The sequence below is a fragment of the Homo sapiens genome, chromosome 16 (assembly GCF_000001405.40).
Source record: "Homo sapiens chromosome 16, GRCh38.p14 Primary Assembly".
Taxonomy (NCBI): domain Eukaryota; kingdom Metazoa; phylum Chordata; class Mammalia; order Primates; family Hominidae; genus Homo; species Homo sapiens.
In genome coordinates, this window is record NC_000016.10 from 10010001 (window position 1) to 10031396 (window position 21396).

The following is a 21396-nucleotide window of genomic DNA, read 5'->3' on the forward strand; positions in this document are numbered from 1 at the left end:
CAGACCAAAGCACAGTCCCCTCTACTCTACGAGTGAGGAGCAAGGCCCAAAGAAACAAGCACGACTGTGAATTCTGTTTGAATTCCTGCTTTCTACTCCCTAGTACTGTGCCCTCAGGCACATAGATGAACATCTCAGTTCCTTTCTCCTTTCTGATAAGGGTAGAGAACAGCAAGGCCTACCTGGTTCTTTCCTTATTTTATTATTATCAAGCTGTTCATTTCAGCACATATATCTAGCTTTTACTTTGTACACTAATACAAGAAGAATCCTCACCTAGGTGAGTTTCCACAGCCTTATTTTTCTTAGTCCTCCAGAGTTTTCAAGAGAACCTTATTCCACAGACAGGAAAAATAACTAATGGGTACTAGGCTTAATACCTGGGCGCTGAAATAATCTTTACTACAAACCCTTGGGATATCAGTTTACCTGTATAACAAACTTGCACATGAACCCTCGAACTTAATATAAAAGTTTTAAAAGGATAACATTTGGAACCTGGAGAGCATTAGCAATAGTACCTACCTGTAAAAATGTTGTAAAATTAAATAAGATCATGTATAGGAACTGTTTAATATACTTCATAGTACTTTATAGGTACTTCATAGGTTCATAAATGCTTCCCACCGTTATTATTGCACTGTGAATACTATGGATTTGCAGCATTAACAAGTGATGACTAGGACTCAGCTCAGAGAGGAGGAGAGGAGAGGCTACTGAAGGTTCATGCCTCCACCCCCAGGTACGTGCTGAAAAAGGAATATCTCCCCTTGCTCCTCCAGAATTCTTACCTTGTCTCTCCAGGGAGGCCATGTATTTATACTGCACTGGTCTCTTCACCAGGACTGCTATGCTGCACAACTCCAGGGGGCAGCAATCATATTATATCCTGTGAGCATAGTCCTCCACCCCACCCTTCACCTGAAGTTGTGGAACATGGTGTCCCCATGTGCTAAACGTTCAGGCTTGCTGGGTTATTCCTGTAACATTTGTTCTATATCCCAGTCCAACTTTTCATGGTGACATCCAAAGTTCCCAGCCACCAATGCCAGACTCTTCTTTAGCATCAGTAACCCCACAAACAACTGGGAAGAATACTTATCTACCTTCCCCACTCTTTCTTATTTATGAATCAGTTTGAAATTACACGGTAATAGTTGTGCCTGCATTTTGAAGATGGCTCTTATCAGTAATTACAGATGTATGTTAAACTAAGTTTTTAATGCTAAGATTATCTTCCCAGGTGTTTACATTAGAAAGAATTCTAGATTTGGAGATAAGTGGAGACAAGTTCACCCCTGAATATTTAGTAAGGTGCTAAGGTACCTGTGGGATTGCCTGAGTTGTGACTCTTAAGACATTGCAAGTAAAAAGTTACAACTGACATCAGCATCCAACCATTCTTCTGTAAGTAGCAATATTCTATTTCCTTTTGCCTTGGTGGGTCCATCAGTCTACGTGTCTACTCTCCCAGGGCCAAGGCGGGACCCAAATCAACCACTCATTCTCCAAACATTTCCAACACAGGAGGAAAAACACAAGGTCAGGGCCGATTCACTGACTGCTGTGTGCTGAAGTAACTGCCTGTCAGATCCTCCTTCATGGATCCCTAGAGAGGCTCTCCTTATTCATTGCAGATGCACGCTTTTTGCAGAGCACCCTTGAAACATGCTAATTAATTATTTTTTTTTAATCTAAGTTACCCAGTGTTGGTTTCATCTACCTGCTGCCCTACTGCAGAATCAGAAAGTGGGAATCTGCTTTGTGGCGGGATGACGTTCACCAAGCATCGTTCAGGGCTGGTTCACCATGATGCCTGTCCAAACCCCTGAGCACCTAGTGTCTGTACCACACATGTAAGTACTTAATCACATGCTACACCAAGCTGCTCATAGTTTCACCCTATAACTCTTGTCTCTGCAGACAGACAAAAGCTTTTCTGGAGGCTGGAGACCATAGCATAGATAAGAGGTCCTCAAAACTAATGGATCATGAGCAGCTGTGAGGTGTGATGCACTAATTAGTTAGGATCCCAGTCCAATCAGTGATACTTGGAAATGATTTTGGCTTTTTTTGTAAGCTACAGCACATTCAAGGTCATTTCTATAATAACATCATTCTTACTCATTTACAATCTGAAATGTTTTCTTGAGTGGGAGCGAAATGGAAAAAGTTTTTAATGTGTTATGCTTTGTCTTACATATTCTTTAATCCTGTACAGAACAGAGCACAGATTCAATGTTGAATTGAACTGATTATGTGACATCCTGCAAACAATAAAAGCATCACTTTTAAAGAACTTAAAGTTCCTTCTCACACCTTTTATACCTGATCTCCAGCCCCTCAAAGGGTTGTATTAATGCATTTAACCCTCATATGCTAAATTTCATTTCTAATTATAGGATAACCACAGGAAAAATGGTTATCCAGACCAGCCCTTTAACTCAAGAATCACAAATGCAACATCTAGCATGGAGAAGCAGGTAAAGAAAATAATGTAAACCTTGTTCAATCGATTCTAAAAGGGTGGCCATGTGGGACAGGCAGAACAATGGCCCCCAAAGGTGTCCATGTCCTAATCCCTGGAACCTGTGAATATGTTACCTTACATGGCAAAAGGGACTTTGCAGATGTGATTAAGGTAAAGATCTTGAGATGGGGAGAAAGGACATTTGAAAGTAGAGTCTGAGAAAGATATTTGAAGATGCCCTGGTGCTGCCTTGGAAGATGAGGAAGGGGCCTTGAGCCAAGGAAATCAGGCAAGGAAAAAGCAGCTTCTTCCCCTAGAGCCTCCAGAAAGAGTTCAGCCCTACTAACACCTTGATTTTAGCTCCATGAGACCCATTTCAGCTTTCTGACCTGCAGAACTGTAGGATAATAAATTTGTATTATTTTAAGCCAGTAAGTTTGCGGTAATTTATTTCAGCAATAGGCAACTAATACACCATGTATCAACTGCAAACAATTGTTGCAGTTCTAGAAAGCTGGCCCAATTTACCAGTTCTTGGGTGGGAGGCGGTAGAGGAGCAGAAAAGATAACTTTTGAGTACTGAGATTAATACCTGGGAGAGGAAATAATCTGTACAACAAACCCCAGTGACACGTGTTTACCTATGTAACAAACCTTCGCATGTACCCCCAAACCTAAAATAAAAGTTTCAAAAATCTGGATTTTAAAAAGAGATCCATCCCTAGATATTTTCGTGAATACTCATTGGATTTTTACAGCCTCTGAGGTCCAGGGTGTATCTATGGGCTGGATTCAGCCCATAGGCTGCCCTTTTTCCTCTGTTCCTCTCCCACGAAAGCCTTCCCCTTGCTTTATCCTGAAGAATGGCCATCCAGCCTTAAGCATCCACATGATGGCAGCTGACTGCCTTCCTAATCATCATCCCAATAAGTGAGAGCTTTAATATTTCAAAGGGTCTGCTCTCAAGCACAGCTAATTTCTCTCTCCCTTATAGCTTTTGCCCACAGGTCCTACTCTTCCCTGCGGGACAGTAACTAGTGGCTCTTGTTTCTCCTCCACAGGACAGCCCTTCGTATGTTTGAAGACTGCTCTCTCATGCCCTCTGCCTTTCTTCCTGAGACCTTCCTGGAATCATAGCTCTTCTCTCTGTGCTCATTCTGTCTGACCCTTCTAAAACGCAAAGATTGGTACCAACCAGCATCCTCCTGGGTCAGGAGCAAGGACAGCGAAACCATGACCACTGAAGTGTTTCTTTTTAACTACAAATCATCTAAACTCTCCTTAAAATTATTCAATCTTTTTCCAGGCAAAGAGATTTTCTTTGGTGAAGAGAAAAATTGCTTAAAGTGGTTTGACCCACACCTCTCTCTCTGGCCTCCTTCCTCTTCCTAGAAATCCAGCTATTGATTCAGCTTCTACTCATGCCTGTAATCTCTTGCTCAAGCGTCACTTCCTCAACGAAGCCGTCTCAGACCAGCTACCAGTCTGGGTCAAGCTCCTCTGTTGAATGATATTTTCCTTTAGAACATTCAGCTCTGTCTGTAATTACACACAGTTACTGTGACTTCGTTATTTGATGCCTGTGTCCCCGTCTAGATTGATAAGCTCTGTGAGAGCAGAGTGCAAGCCTGTATAGCCTAGCCCAGCTAATAAATGGGTAGGTGGTGAGTTGTGAGTGAATGTGTAGGGGAGTCTGACTTGTCAATATTCTGCTTTATTATCAGAACAAATGAAAACTCCAGTTTTTGGTCATTTTCATATGGCTGGATACCTTCCCCTTCTCAACCTGGCACTTGTAGAATAAATTTTATAACCTAAATGCAAGACCAGTATGTATGTCTCTTAAAGGATACCTTGACAACTTTACCCTGCATTCTAGTTTAGTAAACCATATTTGAAGCTTGATTTCATTGGCCACTATATGTTCTTTTCTCCTGGCCTTATAAATGTACACATTTCTTAGAAAACTCGGGTCTTCATTCATTCTACAAACATGTCTTGAGTGGCTACTATGAGCCAGGCTCAGAGGGTAGCTGAAGATAAATAGGTAAACAAAGCATGAGCCCCACCCTTAGATTACTCAGTCTAGCAGGACAGACAGAGGCATAAATGGACCACTCTGAAACCAAGTGTTGAATGCCATTATAAAGAAAGTTGGGTTCTGTGGTGTAAGTAGGAGTTAACGAGATGAGGATGGCACAGGAGTCCCAGACAAAGGGAAACTCATTACCAAGAAATGAGGGTGTCTCAAGAAGTGACAACCGTTTTAAGTCATTTAAACATAGGTCAGAGTGGAGAGAGACAAGCCTAGAAGGCCATGAACAAAGAGACTTATGCAGTGAGTTAAGCAATATGGACTTTATCAACAAGTAATGGGTTATTAATAGGAACATGACATTTATATTTCAGAAAAAAAAATTTAGCATCTACAGGAGGATGAGTGAATAGAAAAGCAGGAGGACATTAGAAGGTTGTTATAATCATTTAAATAAGAAATAACTGGACAGGTGTGGTGGCTCATGCCTGTAATCCCAGCACTTTGGGAGGCCAAGGTGGGCAGATTACCTGAGATCAGGAGTTCGGGACCAGCCTGGCCAACATAGTGAAATCTCATCTCTACTAAAAGTACAAAAATTAGCTGGGCATGGTGGCACATGCCTATAATCCCAGCTACTCGGGAGGCTGAGGCAGAAGAATCACTTGAACCGGGAGGCGGAGGTCGCAGTGAGCTGAGATCGCACCACCGCACTCCAGCCTGGGCAACAGAGCAAGACTTCATCTCAAAAAAAAAAAAAAAAAAAGAAAAAAAAAAAGAAAAAGAAAGGAAAGGAAAAGAAAAAAAAGAAATAACTAGAATCTTACTAAGGGTAGGAGGAAAGAATAGAGAGGAAGAAAAAGACTTGAAAGATCCACAATGTCTATAAAACAGATCTAAGTACAGAGACCTGTGGCCTACCTTTGGAGACCTACTTCCAGGTGACTTATTTTAACTCAGTGACACAACAACTAGTTCACTCAGGCAAAATAATAACAAAAATATTTTTTTCAAAAAAAGACTCCCTGATTCCGAATGCGCTTTAAATTTCTGAACATACTTACATTTGGAAAATCATTTTGCAAGATAGGCAGTTTGCACTAGATTCATTTGCATGTATATAACATTGCAGTGTAAGCTTTCTTCTAAGCATTTTCACCTGCTTCATCACCCATTGGCTGCATTCCCCCAGCAAACATTTATTGGGAACATACTATTTACGAGGTGATGGCAACTGCAGGGGACAGGGAGGTGCAACAACTCAGCCCCTGCAATGAGGCAATTCACCATCAGTGTGGGAAATGGACAGCCACACAGAACCTCATTAAACCATGTGGTAGGGTAGCTGGGCATAGTGGCTCACACTGTAATCCCAGCTCTTTGGGAGGTCGAGGTGGGAGGATCACCTGAGGTCAGCCTGGCCAACATGATAAAACCCCGTCTCTACTAAAAATACAAAAATTGGTTGGGTGTGATGGCAAGTGCCTGTAATCTCAGCTACTCAGGAGGCTGAGACAGGAGAATTGCTTGAACCCAGGAGGTGGAGGTTGCAGTGAGCCAAGATCATGCCATTGCACTCCAGCCTGGGTGACAAGAGTGAAACTCCATCTCAAAAAAAAAAAAAAAAAAAAAAAAAGTGGTAGGCATGGCCTGAGCACGGGAAACCCAGGGTAATGTAAGAGGCGCAGAGAAGAGGCCCCCTAATTCAGCCTGCAATGGTGCAGTGGAGTGGGGGACAGTCAGGAAAGACACTTTGGATACCTGAGCGTTGTTTGGTTTCCCATGTAGCCTGTGGACTTCTCATGGTACATGTTTCATCTGTCACCCCATCCAACAATCAGCACACAGCTCAAACAAGATGGGGTCAGATCTCCACTTCATACACACTGGATTTCCACACATGCATGGGAAAGAAAAGAAGGACTATTGCCCCACAGATTCACTGCATCTAGTATTGCTAAGGGGCTGCAGCCTCTTGCCAACCACAGACCCATCTCAGTGGACAATGCAAAGGGTAGCATTAAATCATGAGCTTTGTGAGGGCAGGGAGCCCTGTGCCTCCTATCTGGCATAGCATCCCACACCTGGTGGGTGCCTAGTAATTGTCCATAGGATAAATGGATAACAACGGAGAGACGAAGAATTTATTGTAGTTGTGTTTTTGCAATAGTTTCTCTCCCCCACTGGGTGATTATTCATGCACTGCTTCTCCACATTAGGGCAAAGTGAGCTCACATCTCTCTTACCTGCTCTCTGGGCCTCCCGGCCTGGACTCGCACAAGGGCACCATCCCACTACCCCTCATACTTCCAATCAGTGCAGACCAGAGCCACCCCAACCCCACTATCATCACTCACATGAGCAGCAGGATGGAGCTGGCACAGAAGACAAGCCTCCTACACCTCCTCTGCCAAATCTTCAAATATCATCAGTCACACTGGAAAATGGCCCCAGGCCACTGCTGCTTAATGGGCCATGATGGATGAACACAGATCTAGAGAAATGATTGTTTACCAACTAAGGGATCAGAGCCTATGGGCCTCTTTCTGTCCTCTGAAGAGCATGCTGCTACTGGGGCAAATGAGTTTGAGTCCAGAGCCGACAATGAGCAGGTGATCAAGCCCCAAGTGAAATGGCCTACAAGCCCCTCATCTTCTGACCACAAAAACACCATAGGAACATAGAGACACTGCCATTTTTTTAAAAGGAACCTTATGAGGAATACAGACAAAGAAACAGATAATCATTACACATTAAGATAATCATTACACGATTAATAGATAATCATTACACGTTGTTAAGTGCTACAATGGCAGCATGATAGGGCACTTGATGAGTCTTGGTGGGGCGGCAGTCAGAGAAGACTACCTGGGGGCTGGGGATCATGAAAGAAGGCAGGAGGGGAAATCATTTCTGCACAGGTTACAGTAGACTGAGTGCATGTTCTAGAGCCAAACAGCCTTGGTTGCATCTTGGTTTGTTCGGCTTATTTCGAGCTATGTTAATTGCAAGTCACTACTCTCTGAGGGTCTCTAAGTGCTCTGAGAAATATGAACAGTAACAGTTCCCAGCTATTGTGAGTTGTTGTGGGGGTTGTACAAAAGAACAAGCATAACATAAGAAAAGCATAAGAATGAGCCTGAGACACTGTGAGTACTCAGTATACATTGGTCATCATAACCAGGACTGCAAGTACAGCAAGGCCAATGAAGCACTTCCTTTGGGTGCAACATTTAAGAGGGTGATAAATGACTCATCAGTCAAGATAAGTAATATTTTAATATGATATTTTTACAAATAAAAACCAATGCAAAAAAAATGATGCAAAACAAATCAAAATTTAAATAAAGACAAGATCCGACTGTACTTGCCCAACCTTAGTCTCAGCCCTGCTGGATCCTCTATTATTATGTTAATCATGGAATTCTTGGCATTAATTTCTATTCTCTAAAATATTGCACTGAAATGGTATTTACCTTGATAACTTAATTGTTTGGCACCCTTTTAAATTTTGCATCCAAGGAGGGATTCTTAATCTCTTCTTCCTTGTCCTGGCCCTGATACGTGGCTTTCCAATTTTCTACGATGAGAGTAGTTACTTTTACATTTAGAAGAATCAAATGATATGACTTTTTTAAAGAGATGAGTTATTAAAAGGAGACGTGATCAGAAGACATTTAGCTTCGTTTAGGAGGCAAAGCAGATGCACGTGGGCCATTTCAAATAGAAAACCATAAGACTGTATGTGAAAAAGGACCCTAAGATGAAACAGTGGTGGGTGTTATAAGAATTCTGATCTCAGTAAGGTAAGAGGAGGCTGGTGTTTTCCAGAAACATAAGAGAAGAAGGTGGGGTTTCTGTGCTAGCACCAGAAGACACAAACTGGAGGCAGCAATACCACTGCAGTTGATGTGACAGAAGCCCCTGGAGAAGAGTTCACCAAAACGTGAAAGGGGAGTCCAGCAGCTGCGTGCTAAGGGGGTGTGGCTCTCAGCTCAATTCTAGCCTGACCTTCTTATAGATGGCTGAGAGAACCCTAGAGGCTATTTCACGCTGTCAACACTAATGATACTTCTGCTGAGAGAGGGGTGAACCTCTGGTCCACCTATTGCTGATGCTGCACGAGGGAAACTCTATCCAGGGAGGTGATTGTCCTGGTGCCACGGCACTCACAGCTGGGCATGCCTGCACTGCCAGTCACTCCCCACACACCGTGCACCCCAGCTCCGCTTTCACCATGAAGATGAGCAGGAAAGAAAACTCATCTCCCAACCCGAGGTTGCTCTGATTCTCTAGGTCCCAGAATCTCTGAGTTGCAGACACCTTGGAAATCCTCATTGTCATAAGCAAGAATGCCCCAGAGTTACAGCTCCACCTTCCCAATCTGAGCACTGGCTGTGGCCTGCCTTCAGTGACTTTGGACCATGCCAGCAGCTCAGACCCCACTTTTTCTCCCAAGTTCCCCCAAACCTCAAGAAAAAATATTTTTTTTGGAAAACGTGTTTTTAACAATGATCATCCATTTCCCAATAAGTCCAAGGAAGTGTTGATCTCCAAAAAAAAAAAAAACTGAATCCCAACGTAAGTTTGTGACCTTGAGCAAATTGCAGGATCTGTGCCTCAGTTGCCCCATTAATAAAAAGAGGGAAGTCACCTCACTGCTAACACTTCATTAGTAAAATAAGGACACTAACAGTACCTTCATGTGTGGCGAGTATAAGGATAAAATAAGATATAAACATTTGACACAGTGTCTGGCATGTGACAAGCATTTGATACATGAAAGCTACTGTTTATCATTGTTTTATAATTATCACTATTATTAAGTTGTAAAAATTAGAATTAGATTATGCATGGAAAGCATCTATCACAGTCTGGCATACAGCAGAGGCACAATAAATGGAAGATATTGTCACAAGGATAGCAAGGAGGAAATGTTTAATCTGTAAGCATTTCAAAGAGGGAAGCTAAAATTGTATTTCTAAGCAGAAATTTGTGGACCCATTTTAATGACAAGATAAAACACATTTCTAGTTAGCAGCATTCCTTGTACATAAACAATTTATCTACCCAAGGCTAGAAAACGGTATGCCCTCAAGTAGATTAAATCAACCCTGCCGGGTACCCCCAATGCCTCTTTACTACTCATTTGTTTGGCAAATGCTTTCTTCTAAGATTGCAGCCAGGTCTGTGTCAGCTCAGCGAGGGTTCAGGACTACCGGAGTCAGAAGGAGTGATCCTGGATTCATCTTACACTGACTTCCTGGCTGACTTAGAAATGGCCATAATGTAGATATGTTGACCAAAGGGTACCAACTCTCCATTATAAGGTGAATGAATAAGTTCTGAGGATGGTGACTACAGTTAGTAATATCATATTATACACTTGAAATTTGTGAAGCGATTAGATCTTAATTATACTCACACCACATACACAGACACCCAAAATGGTAACCAACAGTCGTGAAAGATGTGTTAATTAATTCGATGGTGGTGATCATTTCACAGTCTACACACTCATCAAAACATCACATTGTACACCTTGAATACAAACCACTTTATTTGTCAGTTAAACCTCAATAAAGCTGGAAGGAAAAAAACAGTATACCAAAGAAATGAAAAGATGGGCCAGGTGCAGTGGCTCACGCCTGTAATCCCAGCACTTTGGGAGGCTGAGATGGGTGGATGACGAGGTCAGGAGTTCAAGACCAGCCTGGCCAACCTGGTAAAACCCCATCTCTACTAAAAATACAAAATTAGCAGGGCATGGGGCGTGGGGCAGGTGCCTGTAGTCCCAGCTACTTGAGAGGCTCATTGAAACTCTTTGGGCTCAGTTTCTTCATCTGGAGAATGGGAATTCTCATACCTAACCTACATTATTTTTCCATTATTTTTCCAAGATGTTCAGAAGTCAATTGCATAAAAAACCACCTTTCACAATGTAGATGATCAATAAATATAAAAGGGAGTTCTGCACGTTATTATTTCAATACGAGGTGGGAGTTTAGTGCAGCAGGCTGCAGCTGTGTGTGCAATAAATATAGAATTAGAATTTTCCACATTGAGTTTCTGAAAAACTAAGGAGAACATGAACTCTGGATTCAAGAGAGTCATACTAGCTATACGATACAAGGTTAATTGTTCTGATTCTCAGCTGCAAAATGAGGATAAATAATCATGGTGCCACCTATGATGTTGTAAGGACAAGATAAAAGTAAGTACATATAAAGCACCAAGCATAGTGCTTGGCCCATGTTAAGAGCTCAATAAAAAGCATTATTTTACTATAATTATGATCATCATTATTATCATTGCTACTCCCCTGCCAGGTTTAGCAGGGGTCCTACCTGTACCAGCTCCAACATAAAGAGCCACAGGACAGTCTGGACAGACAACTGAGATGCTGTACGTCTTGGTCAGGCCCTTGCACTTCTCCAGCCTGTGCATGATGTCACCACTTCCCCAAACTTCTCCCTCTCACCTCCAAGTTTGTGCTAAACCGCTTACCAAGCAGCTTCAGACTCATTAACATCTAATCAGCCCTAATTGGCTGCAATTCAGCAGAAGTCCTTTCAGGGGGCAGGTGACTGGCAGAATCCCCAGAAGCAAGCCCACAGCCTTTGGAGAGCAGTCACTGGGTGGGTGGGAGAGGGAAGACCACAGCTGGGTCCCCTAAGCAGCCTGTACCTTCCCAGCTCTAAGGCAGCCATGAGACCTAGGTAGTGAATGAATGGACTGGTCAATGACGGCTCTATTCAACACATATTTATTGAACATCTATGTTGTGTCAGACTCTGCCCTCCTGGAATCCCTCCTGGATGGCCCTGTGAGGGGAATCTACTATTGTTCCCATTTTATAGCAGAGGAAAATGACGCCCAGAAAGGTGAAGGGCTTGCCCAATATCCCAGCAGCTGGTAAGTGTTGGAGCCAGAATTCTCACCTCAGCAGTCTACCGCAGACTCCAAGCTCTTCGCCACTCAGTGAACTGTGATACATTCCCCCAGTTACCAATGGTAGACTTTGAAAAAGGAAATAAAAAAGGAAGCTGAAATCCACATTGACAGCAAAGATAGGCAGGAGGGGATTGACAGGAGCGGAAGCAAGCCCTTTCTCAGGAGATGATGCATAATGATGAGAAATAGCCAGCCAAGGGAGGGAATGAGGGGAAGAGCATTCCAGGTGGAAAGAAAAGCATATGCAAATGCCCCAAAGCAGGGGAGACCTTGGGGTTGTCTCCCCTGTCAGGGGAGACAGGGTCAGTGGGGCTGGAGCAAATGAGGAGGCTGCCAAAGTCAATGTCCATCAAGCCCGTTCAGGACACTCTGAGTGACCTTAGGCTGCATTCTGCCCCATCTGCCTAACTTCTCTTCTCAGTGGACTCTCTGCCCCCAGTGATGGGGATCATCATGCTGTGTTACCTTGGGCAAGTCGCTTCACCTCTCTGAGCCTCAGTTTTCTCATTAGTAAAATGAGAGTAATGGTCATAATACCTATCTCATAATACCTCATACAGAACACCTTGCTGTTCCTCCATGTCCCACCTTGACACCTCTAGAAATCTCTTCCCTCTGTCTAGAATGTCTTTCCCTATCCCCTTCACCTGTGGAGGTTTTACTGTGATTATGAGGCACACATCAAAATACCACAGCATCCAACATATAGCAGGTGCTTGATAAATATGTGTTGAATAAGTGAATACAAACTCCCTAGCAGAATAGAATGCAAGCCTTGATTTCCAGCTCAGCCTTACACACACATACACATGCATGCACAGAGTCACACACATGCATATGTGCATGCACATATTCACACACACACGCACACACGCAAGCACGCACATACGTGTACCATCCCAGCCACACAGAACATCTTGCTGTTCCTCCATGTCCCACCTTGACATGTCTACAAATCTCTTCCTTCTGTCTAGAATGTCTTCCCCATCTCCTTCACCTGTGGAGGTTTAGCCTCGCTTTAAAGTCCAGCACTGATGCTAGTTTCATTTTCCTCTACATCCCTACAACATTTCATAAACAAAAATAAAACATACATCAGTGCTGCACCATAGTCTATTTCCCACCCTCTCTTCCCTCACCTCAGACTGAGTGCTTCCCCATAGCAGGTCTTATTCTTCTCTCCAGTCTGAACACTTAGCACACAGTTGACATTTTGAGGATGATAAATAAGTATTTAGTGACTGAATGAGTGAATGAATACCTTGGAACTGTTTTTCCATAAATATATATTCCCACAGTTCTCTTCCTATCAGTCAATGAACAACCACTTAATAAGACCCCGTTTCTTTTGAGTATTATGCCAGCTCTTTGGGAGAAAAATGCCAACAATGACACTGTTCTCAAGAACTGAAAATGTGGTCTAAGAACGGCACCACTAGAAAGTACTACACATGCATAATCAGTATGACTACCACACCTGGTATTCCAATGTCTACCAGGGATAAACTGCTCAGTTTGTAGATTAACACAGGAATCTAAAGGAGAAAATCCTACTAATCAGGGGGATATAGCTTAACTTTCTTGCTTAAACAACCCGAGATGATCAGCCAGACTTCCCAAGCCTGTAAAAAGAGGGCTCTACCAATGAGAAATTAACCACCTGGTATTGAGATGGTAGATTCCGACTGAGTCCACTCAGGCTGATCTTAGACCGAGTTGGCAACAAACAAAAAGAGGGCCACAGCTGCCCCCAATGTTCAGCTGCATTCCCAAGCTAGAGAACGAGACACTTCCAAATCTGAAATAACTCATCCAACTGAGGCAGGGCTCTATAAACAACAGACAAGTAAAATACATTGAATAAATATTACATAATCTATTTTCTTTAGTGGTTGTGTCTGTATATATGTGGGTACATTCAGGTGTGGTTTTTACAATGACCCTTCGAAGTGGGTATTATAATTACAACTTTATATGTGAGAAAACTAAGGTTTAAGATTTGATTAGTAACCTGGCACAAATCTTAAAACCAGTAAGAGAACACATCAGGATTCGAACACCAATATGAGCCCATTTTCTACTCTTACTGCTGATGTGAGTACTAAGTCCTCATTAACTGGTGATGAAAGAAATAGATGTGAAGGAATTAAAACACCAAAAAGAGCCTTGGTATTTCCTCTCATCTTGGTTCAATAACCTCTTGTGAGAAAAAAGTTTTCAGTGCGTGTCGCTATAAATGAGCATGATTGGCTTGCCAGTTGAACCTACAAACAGAAATAATGTGAGAGGTCACAAGTCCACTCATTTGCACTGGACTTCCAAAGAGTTTTGTCATGCAGTGTCTCAGTTAATCCCCCAATAGCCCAGGGAGGTGGACATGGGCACCATTTTACATACAGAGAAAACATCCCAAAACATTGCAGTGATGACACATATTTATTAAGCATAAACCTTAGGCCAGGTACATCACACATTATGCCATTTAATCCACCCCATAAACTGTCATTGTGCCTCTTGTTCAGAAGAACAGGTTGGGGCTTAGAGAGGTTAAATGACTCATCCGAGGTCATATAGCTTGTCCTCAGAGCCAGAATTCGAATCCAAAGACATGTTCTTAAGAACCATGGCATTCACCTCTCCCTAGGACACACAAGGGCTCAAATCGAGCCCATGAGGCTTCTATCAGCTATCTACCAGTTCATTTGGATTTTTGGCTCATTGCAGACTAATGATGCACAAGTGGTCTCATTAATGGTATGCATGTTTGTTTGTTTGTTTGTTTGAGACGGAGCCTCGCTCTGTCACCCAGGCTGGAGTGCAGTGGCACCATCTTGGCTCACTGCAGCCTCCACCTCCTGGGTCAAGCAATTCTTCTGCCTCAGCCTCCTGAGTAGCTGGGATTACAGGTGTGTGCCACCACACCCAGCTAATTTTATTTTTAGTAGAGATGGGGTTTCACCATGTTAGCCAAGCTGGTCTCAAACTCCCAACCTCATGATCCACCCGTCTTGGCCTCCCAAAGTGCTGGAATTACAGGCGTGAGCCAACGTGCCCAGCCAATGTCACGCACAGTTTTAAGCAAAACTATGTTTCAGTCTCAGCTAAACTATGTCATTACCACGTCTTCTCTGTCTCCCATTGCCGCTTAGAGATCACAAGATATGCCAAGATGGGTCTGGCTTTTAGAGACTCTCATTTTGCAGACCCATTCAAGCCATGGATTTAGTGTAGTGTCAAGATGAGAAGCCTAAACAACATAGAGAAAGCCCACGTTCAGCCATAACTTCCCACTCACTCCTCACTGAAGAGGTAGGCACAATAGCTTTCTCACTGCTTAGCAATTATATCAAGTAAGAGCTGTTGGATGGCATGAGAGACCACAAGTAGACACAGAATGGCTATTTGGTTGGCTGGCTGCTCATTTTTTGAGCAAATAAAATAAGCACTAAATTCAAAACAGAGCCTCCCACAAAATAATCCAAAATTTAAATGAATTTTTTAAAAAAAGCATAGTTGAAATGGAGATAAGTCATGGAAGAGTCAGAGAGGAGAGAAAAGAAGAGGGAAGGGAGGAAGAGGGAAGAGAGGATGATGGAGAGAGGAATCGAGAGATGAGAGGAGATGGAGAGGAAAAGAGAGGAGGAAAGAAGAGAGGAATGAGTAAAGAAGAAAATTGAAAGAGGTGGCAGAGAGATGGGAGGGGCTAAGAAGACTGGAGATTACTAATGGTGCAGCTGAATCATAAAACTATCATGCTTATAGGAAACTCGTGGCTCTGGGGTTTAACGAAAGGTTTTATATTTTTAATTTGCCAGATCAGGGACGCAGCAGGGTCTTTTTTTTTTTTTTTTTTTTTTTTTTGAGATGGGGTCTTGTTTTGTCATCCAGGCTGGAGTGCAGTGGTGTAATTACAACTCACAGCAGCCTCGACCTCCTGGGCTCAGGCATCCTCCTGCCTCAGCCTTCCAAGTAGCTGGGACTATAGGCCTATGCCACCACATCTGACTATTTTTTCTTTTTTTTGGAGGGACAGGGTCTCCCTGTGTTCCCCAGGCTGGTCTTGAACTCCTAGGCTTAAGTGATCCTCCTGCCTCGGCCTCCCTAAGTGCTGGAATTATAGGCGTGAATCACCATGCCTGACACAGCAGAACCTTTGAGATATATTTAAGCAAGGAGGCTGGAATACCACCTCATTTGACTCCAGGGAAAATATAACTTTTTCCCAGAGATGAAAATAAAGACACCAGAGCGGGGTCCACTCAAGGATACTGATGTGAGCCATCCCCTGCCTCCCTATATCGGCTGGCAGAGACAGGCAGGCTAGGGGATGCAAAATCTCATGGGTAGAGATGCAGCCTTGCTTCAGAGAAATCTTACTGCAAACCCTGGAGGCCAGACTTTAGACAGGATTGCAATGACCTTATGTATCCGAGGCAGTGGAAGTTTCCTCTAAAGAAAAAATGGGAGGCAAGTGGCTTGAGGAAGTCAGGCACAGCGAGCTTCGTAGCCAGGGTCCTGGAGCCAACCTCAAGGCAGCCTCTTTGACTCACACAATACTGTCTGGCTACATCATCACTGTTCTCAGCCCAACCTTCCTCCTGGCCATAGAATCTCTGTATGCTCACTACAGAAAAAAATAAAAAAATATCTAGAGCATGAGGACACAGAAAGGACTTCCAGAATCCCCCACCCAGTGGCAACCACTTTGACACATGACTGCTTGGAGATTGAGAGCCAAATTCAAATCCCAACTTAGGTTCTCACTAATTGGATGAGTTGGGGCAAGTCACGTCACCTTCCTAAGCCTCAGTTTGCTCCTCTGTATAACAAGAGTAATAAAAAGTAGCTTCCTCATGGTATTATTGTGAAAAATAAAATAAAATGCTTGGTGCACTGTCCAGCATGTACAGGGAATCTATTGCTATTATTTATTATTGTTACTAACAGCATTAGATGCATTTCCTTTCTCTGCATCTTGAAGGTAGTCTATGCAAAGTACCCAGCATAGCCTGTAGGATATCTCCAGGCCATTAGAGAGAGAAAAAAGAAAGTCCTTCCTAAATTTAAACTTCATATCACTTCGCCCTCTGATTTAAGCAGGGCATTAGGTTCATCTCTAACTCTCCCTTTCTGTCAACTGAAGAACATGGATCTGCTCCATTCACTGCACAGTCAAGCTGGGGGGCACTGCAGAGAACAAGGAAAGAAGACCACCACCAGCAGACATGGGCCATGGCAGCTCTTAACAATGGCCCCAGGAAAGCCTAGTAGCTCCACTCAGTGAGAAACACGCCAAACAAGAACCAGGTCTGCTTTTCTCTCACTTCCTCCCACCCCAAAACAATGCAGAACTTGAAATCAGGTGCTTTCAGATTCAGGTGAACGAACCTCAGGAAGAACTGCACTTCCAGTCCCCTCTCTTTCTCAATCACAGAAACGATCAAGTTCTCTCCTATTCCACCTGCCTGTTCTCAAGTGGACCCTCCCGTGAAGATGGCTCTATTTCAAATCAAAACCCCATCGCACCACCACCCAAGGGCTTCCTTTTGCCTTTCCCTAATCCACTTTTTGCCTAGTGCTTATTATCAGCTGACACATTAAATATTTGTTATGTTTCTGTTGGCCTCTCCTCACACAAAGAAGACAGGTTTGTTGACTGCTGTATCTCCAGCATGCACAGCCCATTGAAGGCTCAAGTAGCATTTGTTACATGAGAAAATAAGTTGTTTATAGCCCTCCCCAACACCTAGCATCCACATAAAGTGTAAGGGATCTTATAAAGGAGTTGCCCATATTACAGATGAGGAAACTGAGGCTCAGAGAGAACAGACTTTTCCAAGCTCTCACAGCAAAGTTTAGCATCTCAGCTATCAAGACAACCCAAGTATTAACGTTAGAATATAGTGAATGTCCCCCCCTGCCAGTGCTCCAAGGAACGTTCATCCTGCCTTGTTTCAGAAGCAACATCCACAGCCACAGCGTCATAGGAGCCTGGCTGCCCATCCTGGGTCTGCATTTACTAGCTGAGTGAGGTTGGTGTGTCTCTCAGTGATTCCATCTAGCCATATGCAAAATAAGATGACAAATCCTGCTCTTACTACCTTCCAGTGCTGCTCTGGACATCGATGGAATATTTTGGAAACATCCTTGGCTTCTGATGATGGAAGGGGAACCCAGTGAGACATGAGGAGTCCTCGCTGGTGAGTGCTGGAGTTGGTGAGCTTTCAGCATGGGCTGGCCTGGTGCCTCTGCGACTTCCCATCCACAAGCTGTCCCTACCCTTACTCGTCACAAGCAAGGCAATGTTGATGCAGTAAAGGACTAAACCAGAGATGATGCTGCACCCACCAACCAAGTGCTTCCTCTGCCCTGCGTGCTCCTCCTCTCTCCTCCCTCGTCCAAGGCATTCCGAAAAGCACCCTTGTCTTTTGGGCAGAGTTCCCTTTCCACCCTCGAGCTGTCCCCACTGCCTTAGCCTGGACTAATCTCTCCAGGGAACCTCTCCTACATCCACCTGGCTTCTCACAGAACAGTGCGGGAGGTTGGGGACTTATTACAAAGTGCTCTGAAGGATGTTGCCGAGTGCCTCTGGTTTTTGTCTAGTCACTGAAAATGCCGACATCATCCTTGATCAGTGACACATGTTCTACATATGCCCCACGCCAGGTCTGTGTTGAGCAGTAAATAATATGTCACTTACTGCTTGCAGCAACTCTATGAGGCAGGAACTGTGATTGTGCCCATTTCAAAGACGAGCAACCTGGGACACACAGAGTGTTTTGTTAAATTCCCCCAAGTTTCACAGTCAGTAAGTGGCACAGCCATGATTCAAATGCAGGTATCTGGCATAGTAGGGAAAGAGCATGGTGGTGATGGCTACAGGTCCAAAATGAATGTGTGCTCCCATTTACACAGTGTGGCACTGTCGCTGGGAGGCAGCTGCCCAGCCATGGACACTTCCCAGCACCTCTGCATCTGGGTGTAGCCATGTGACTCGTTCATCCAACAGGATGTGGGCCAGAGTTTTGGAGAGATAGGACACCCTTTCTTCTCTCCTTCCTGCTTCCTGGATTTTCTGGCTGCTTGCAGAAAATCCTAAGTTATTAGAAGATGGCAGAGCCACAAGATAGTGGAGACTGACTTCTTAAATCCCCACATGAAGAGAAGCTGCCTGCTGACCCCAGGAATACCCACCATTGGACCATCAGGTTAGCAAAAAGTAAGCTTTATTGTTAAGCCAGAGGTCAGCAAACTTTTCTGTAAAGAGCTAGAGAGTAAATATTTTGAGCTTTGCAGGCCATGCAGTCTCTCTCACAATGGCTCAACTCTGTTATCATAGCATAAAAGCTTCCTTAGATGATCTGTAAACAAATGGGTGTGGCTGTGTTCCAATAAAACTTTATTCACAAAAACAAACAAGGGCCCAAATTGGGCTGGAGAACCACAGCTTGTCAAATCTTGTGCTAAGGCATTAAAATTTTGCAGGAATTATTTGTTATTATAGCTAATGTTAATCAAGTAATATAGGAAAGGGGGAGTCCTCTTTGGTTTCCTTCTTAGTCTCCTAATAATCCACAACCAAATGCAGAGGGATCTCACTTTCCCAACTCTCTCATTTCTCCCCAGAGCTGGAGTGGCCCTCTTTCTGTCCCCACTGAATCCATTTATCTATGGAAAATTGGGAGAGAGAGTCTACAAGAAGAGCACTATACCTCCCCACCCCAATTGCACACACTTTTTTTTTTTTCTTTTCAGACAGAGTTTCGCTCTTGTTGCCCAGGCTGGAGTGCAATGGCACAATCTTGGCTCACCGCAACCTCCGCCTTCCAGGTTCAAGGGATTCTCCTGCCTCAGCCTCCCAAGTAGCTGGAATTACAGGCATGCACCACCCACACGTGGCAAATTTTTGTATTTTTAGCAGAGAGGGTTTCTCCATGTTGGTCAGGCTGGCCTCAAACCCCTTAGGTCAGGTGATCCTCCCGCCTCGGCCTCCCGAAGTGCTGGGATTAGAGGCGTAAAGGCTGCAGTCACGTAGACTCAAAAGAAAAACAGTATTTTAAAAAAAAGAACAAGAATGCTGTATAAAACAGTAAACAGTAAAACATAATGCAGCAATTAAAAGTTAATGCCCCAACATTTATTTTGGGGATACGGCATATGTCTCACCTAGTCTGGGACTAAAAAGTTTCCTGCCTTATTCATGCAGGGGCTTCTTCATGGTTTGCGTAAGGCAGCCAATTAAAGTAGAAACTCAGACCTGGCACAATGCTCACGCCTGTAATCCCAGCACTTTGGGAGGCCGAAGGGGGTGTAGATCACCTGAGGTCTGGAGTTCGAGACCAGCCTGGCCAACATGGTAAAACCCCGTCTCTACTAAAAATACAAAAATTAGCCAGGTGTGGTGCTGCATGCCTGTAATCCCAGCTACTCAGGAGGCTGAGACAGGAGAATTGCTTGAACCCGGGAGGCAGAGGTTGCAGTGAGCTGAGATTGCACTACTGCACTCTAGCCTGGGCCACAGAGTGAGACTCTGTCTCCAAAAAAATAAATAAATAAATAAAAGTATATATATACAAAAAGAAACTCAATGGAGGCTGCAGCATCTTCAAAGTTTATCACTGATTGTGTAAAGCAAGCACGGGCTATGTGCAAGCTGGGCTGCCTATGGACAGGAAGGGATCATTTTCAGAGGCGTTTCAAATCATCTTCACGTTCTTGGGTGATTTTTTAAAAAAAAATCATTAAATGTTATACAACTCTCATTTCTCTCGTCCTTCAATATTACTGCATTTCTCTCATCATTCAATATTACTGTCAGTTCTGGCAGAAAATATAATATACCCCTGCTGAGTTTCCTATGCCCTTCTCTGCTCCAGATCATGTTGTGTTTGTATGAATAGCATGTGCACAGGTGAGACACTGCCTCCTTGGAAGACACCAAAGGCGTGTGGCTGCTGTGTCCAGTCACGTGCTCAGACTTCACCCCTGCTATGGGGATGAGGGCAAGGGTATTGGTTTTGGTCTCCTGCCTGCACTTACTGTTGCCCTGGGGGTGAAGATGCTACCTGAAAACCCACATATCCTGGAAAGGTCTCACACAAGGATCAGGCGTTTTCAGACAGAAAGGTTTTCTTGTTGATGTTTTCTACTGCATTCTCTCTTAAGCTCAAGACTTTTTATTTTGTGTTTTTTACATTGATGAGTTATAAAGGGGTCTCTCTCATCTTTCCCTTCTTTTTACCTTCTTCTTTGCTGAATCTCTGCTCTCTGGCCAGGAGTCATTACATAGAAACTTAAGTGCAGGGTGATCATCTATTAACTCAGCAAATAGTTATCGACAGCTACAATCTCAGATACTATTTAAGGCTTCAGAGATACAGCAGTGAGCAAAATTGCTGTCAAAGTGCCCACATTCTAGTGGAAAAAGCAATAAATAGATGTATTATTTGTTGCCCTAAAAAAGTGAAAAGTGAAGCTTCTTTGGTATGTCTCATGCACCATCTAGGGGGTAGGCTCTGCCATACTGGCTGCTGACTTGTTAAAAATACTACTATCATGAGGCCAGGGAGAAATCTGAACTCGGGAAAGTGGTGTGGGGGCCAGAATTTGAGAAGAGAAGAAGCCTACGCTGGAATCGCACTTAGTTCACGTCACTTCCCAGATCTGGCTTCCAATGGCCTCTTCTCACCCTCTAAATAAAATACGTAAATCCTCAATGTGGCCTTTACAATCTGCCTCTTTTAATCCTTCTCTGCAGCCACAATGACTTCTATGATGGTCTTCCAATACCCTGAGCCTGTTCCCACCTCAGGGTCTTTGCCATTGCTGTGCTGCCCCCTGGAAAGCCCTTCCCCCAGATACTCACATGGGTGTCCCTTCACTTCAAATGTCAGCACAAGAGGTTTTTCCTGCCTAAATGGCAGCCAATATGCTCTAG

The 21396-nt window shown here is 43.7% G+C and overlaps 1 protein-coding gene across 7 annotated transcripts in view; it reads right to left on the minus strand.

The window, feature by feature from the left end:
• Positions 1 to 21396, minus strand: part of GRIN2A (glutamate ionotropic receptor NMDA type subunit 2A) — a 429505-nt gene that overhangs the window by 256597 nt on the left and 151512 nt on the right. The window lies entirely within an intron of this gene.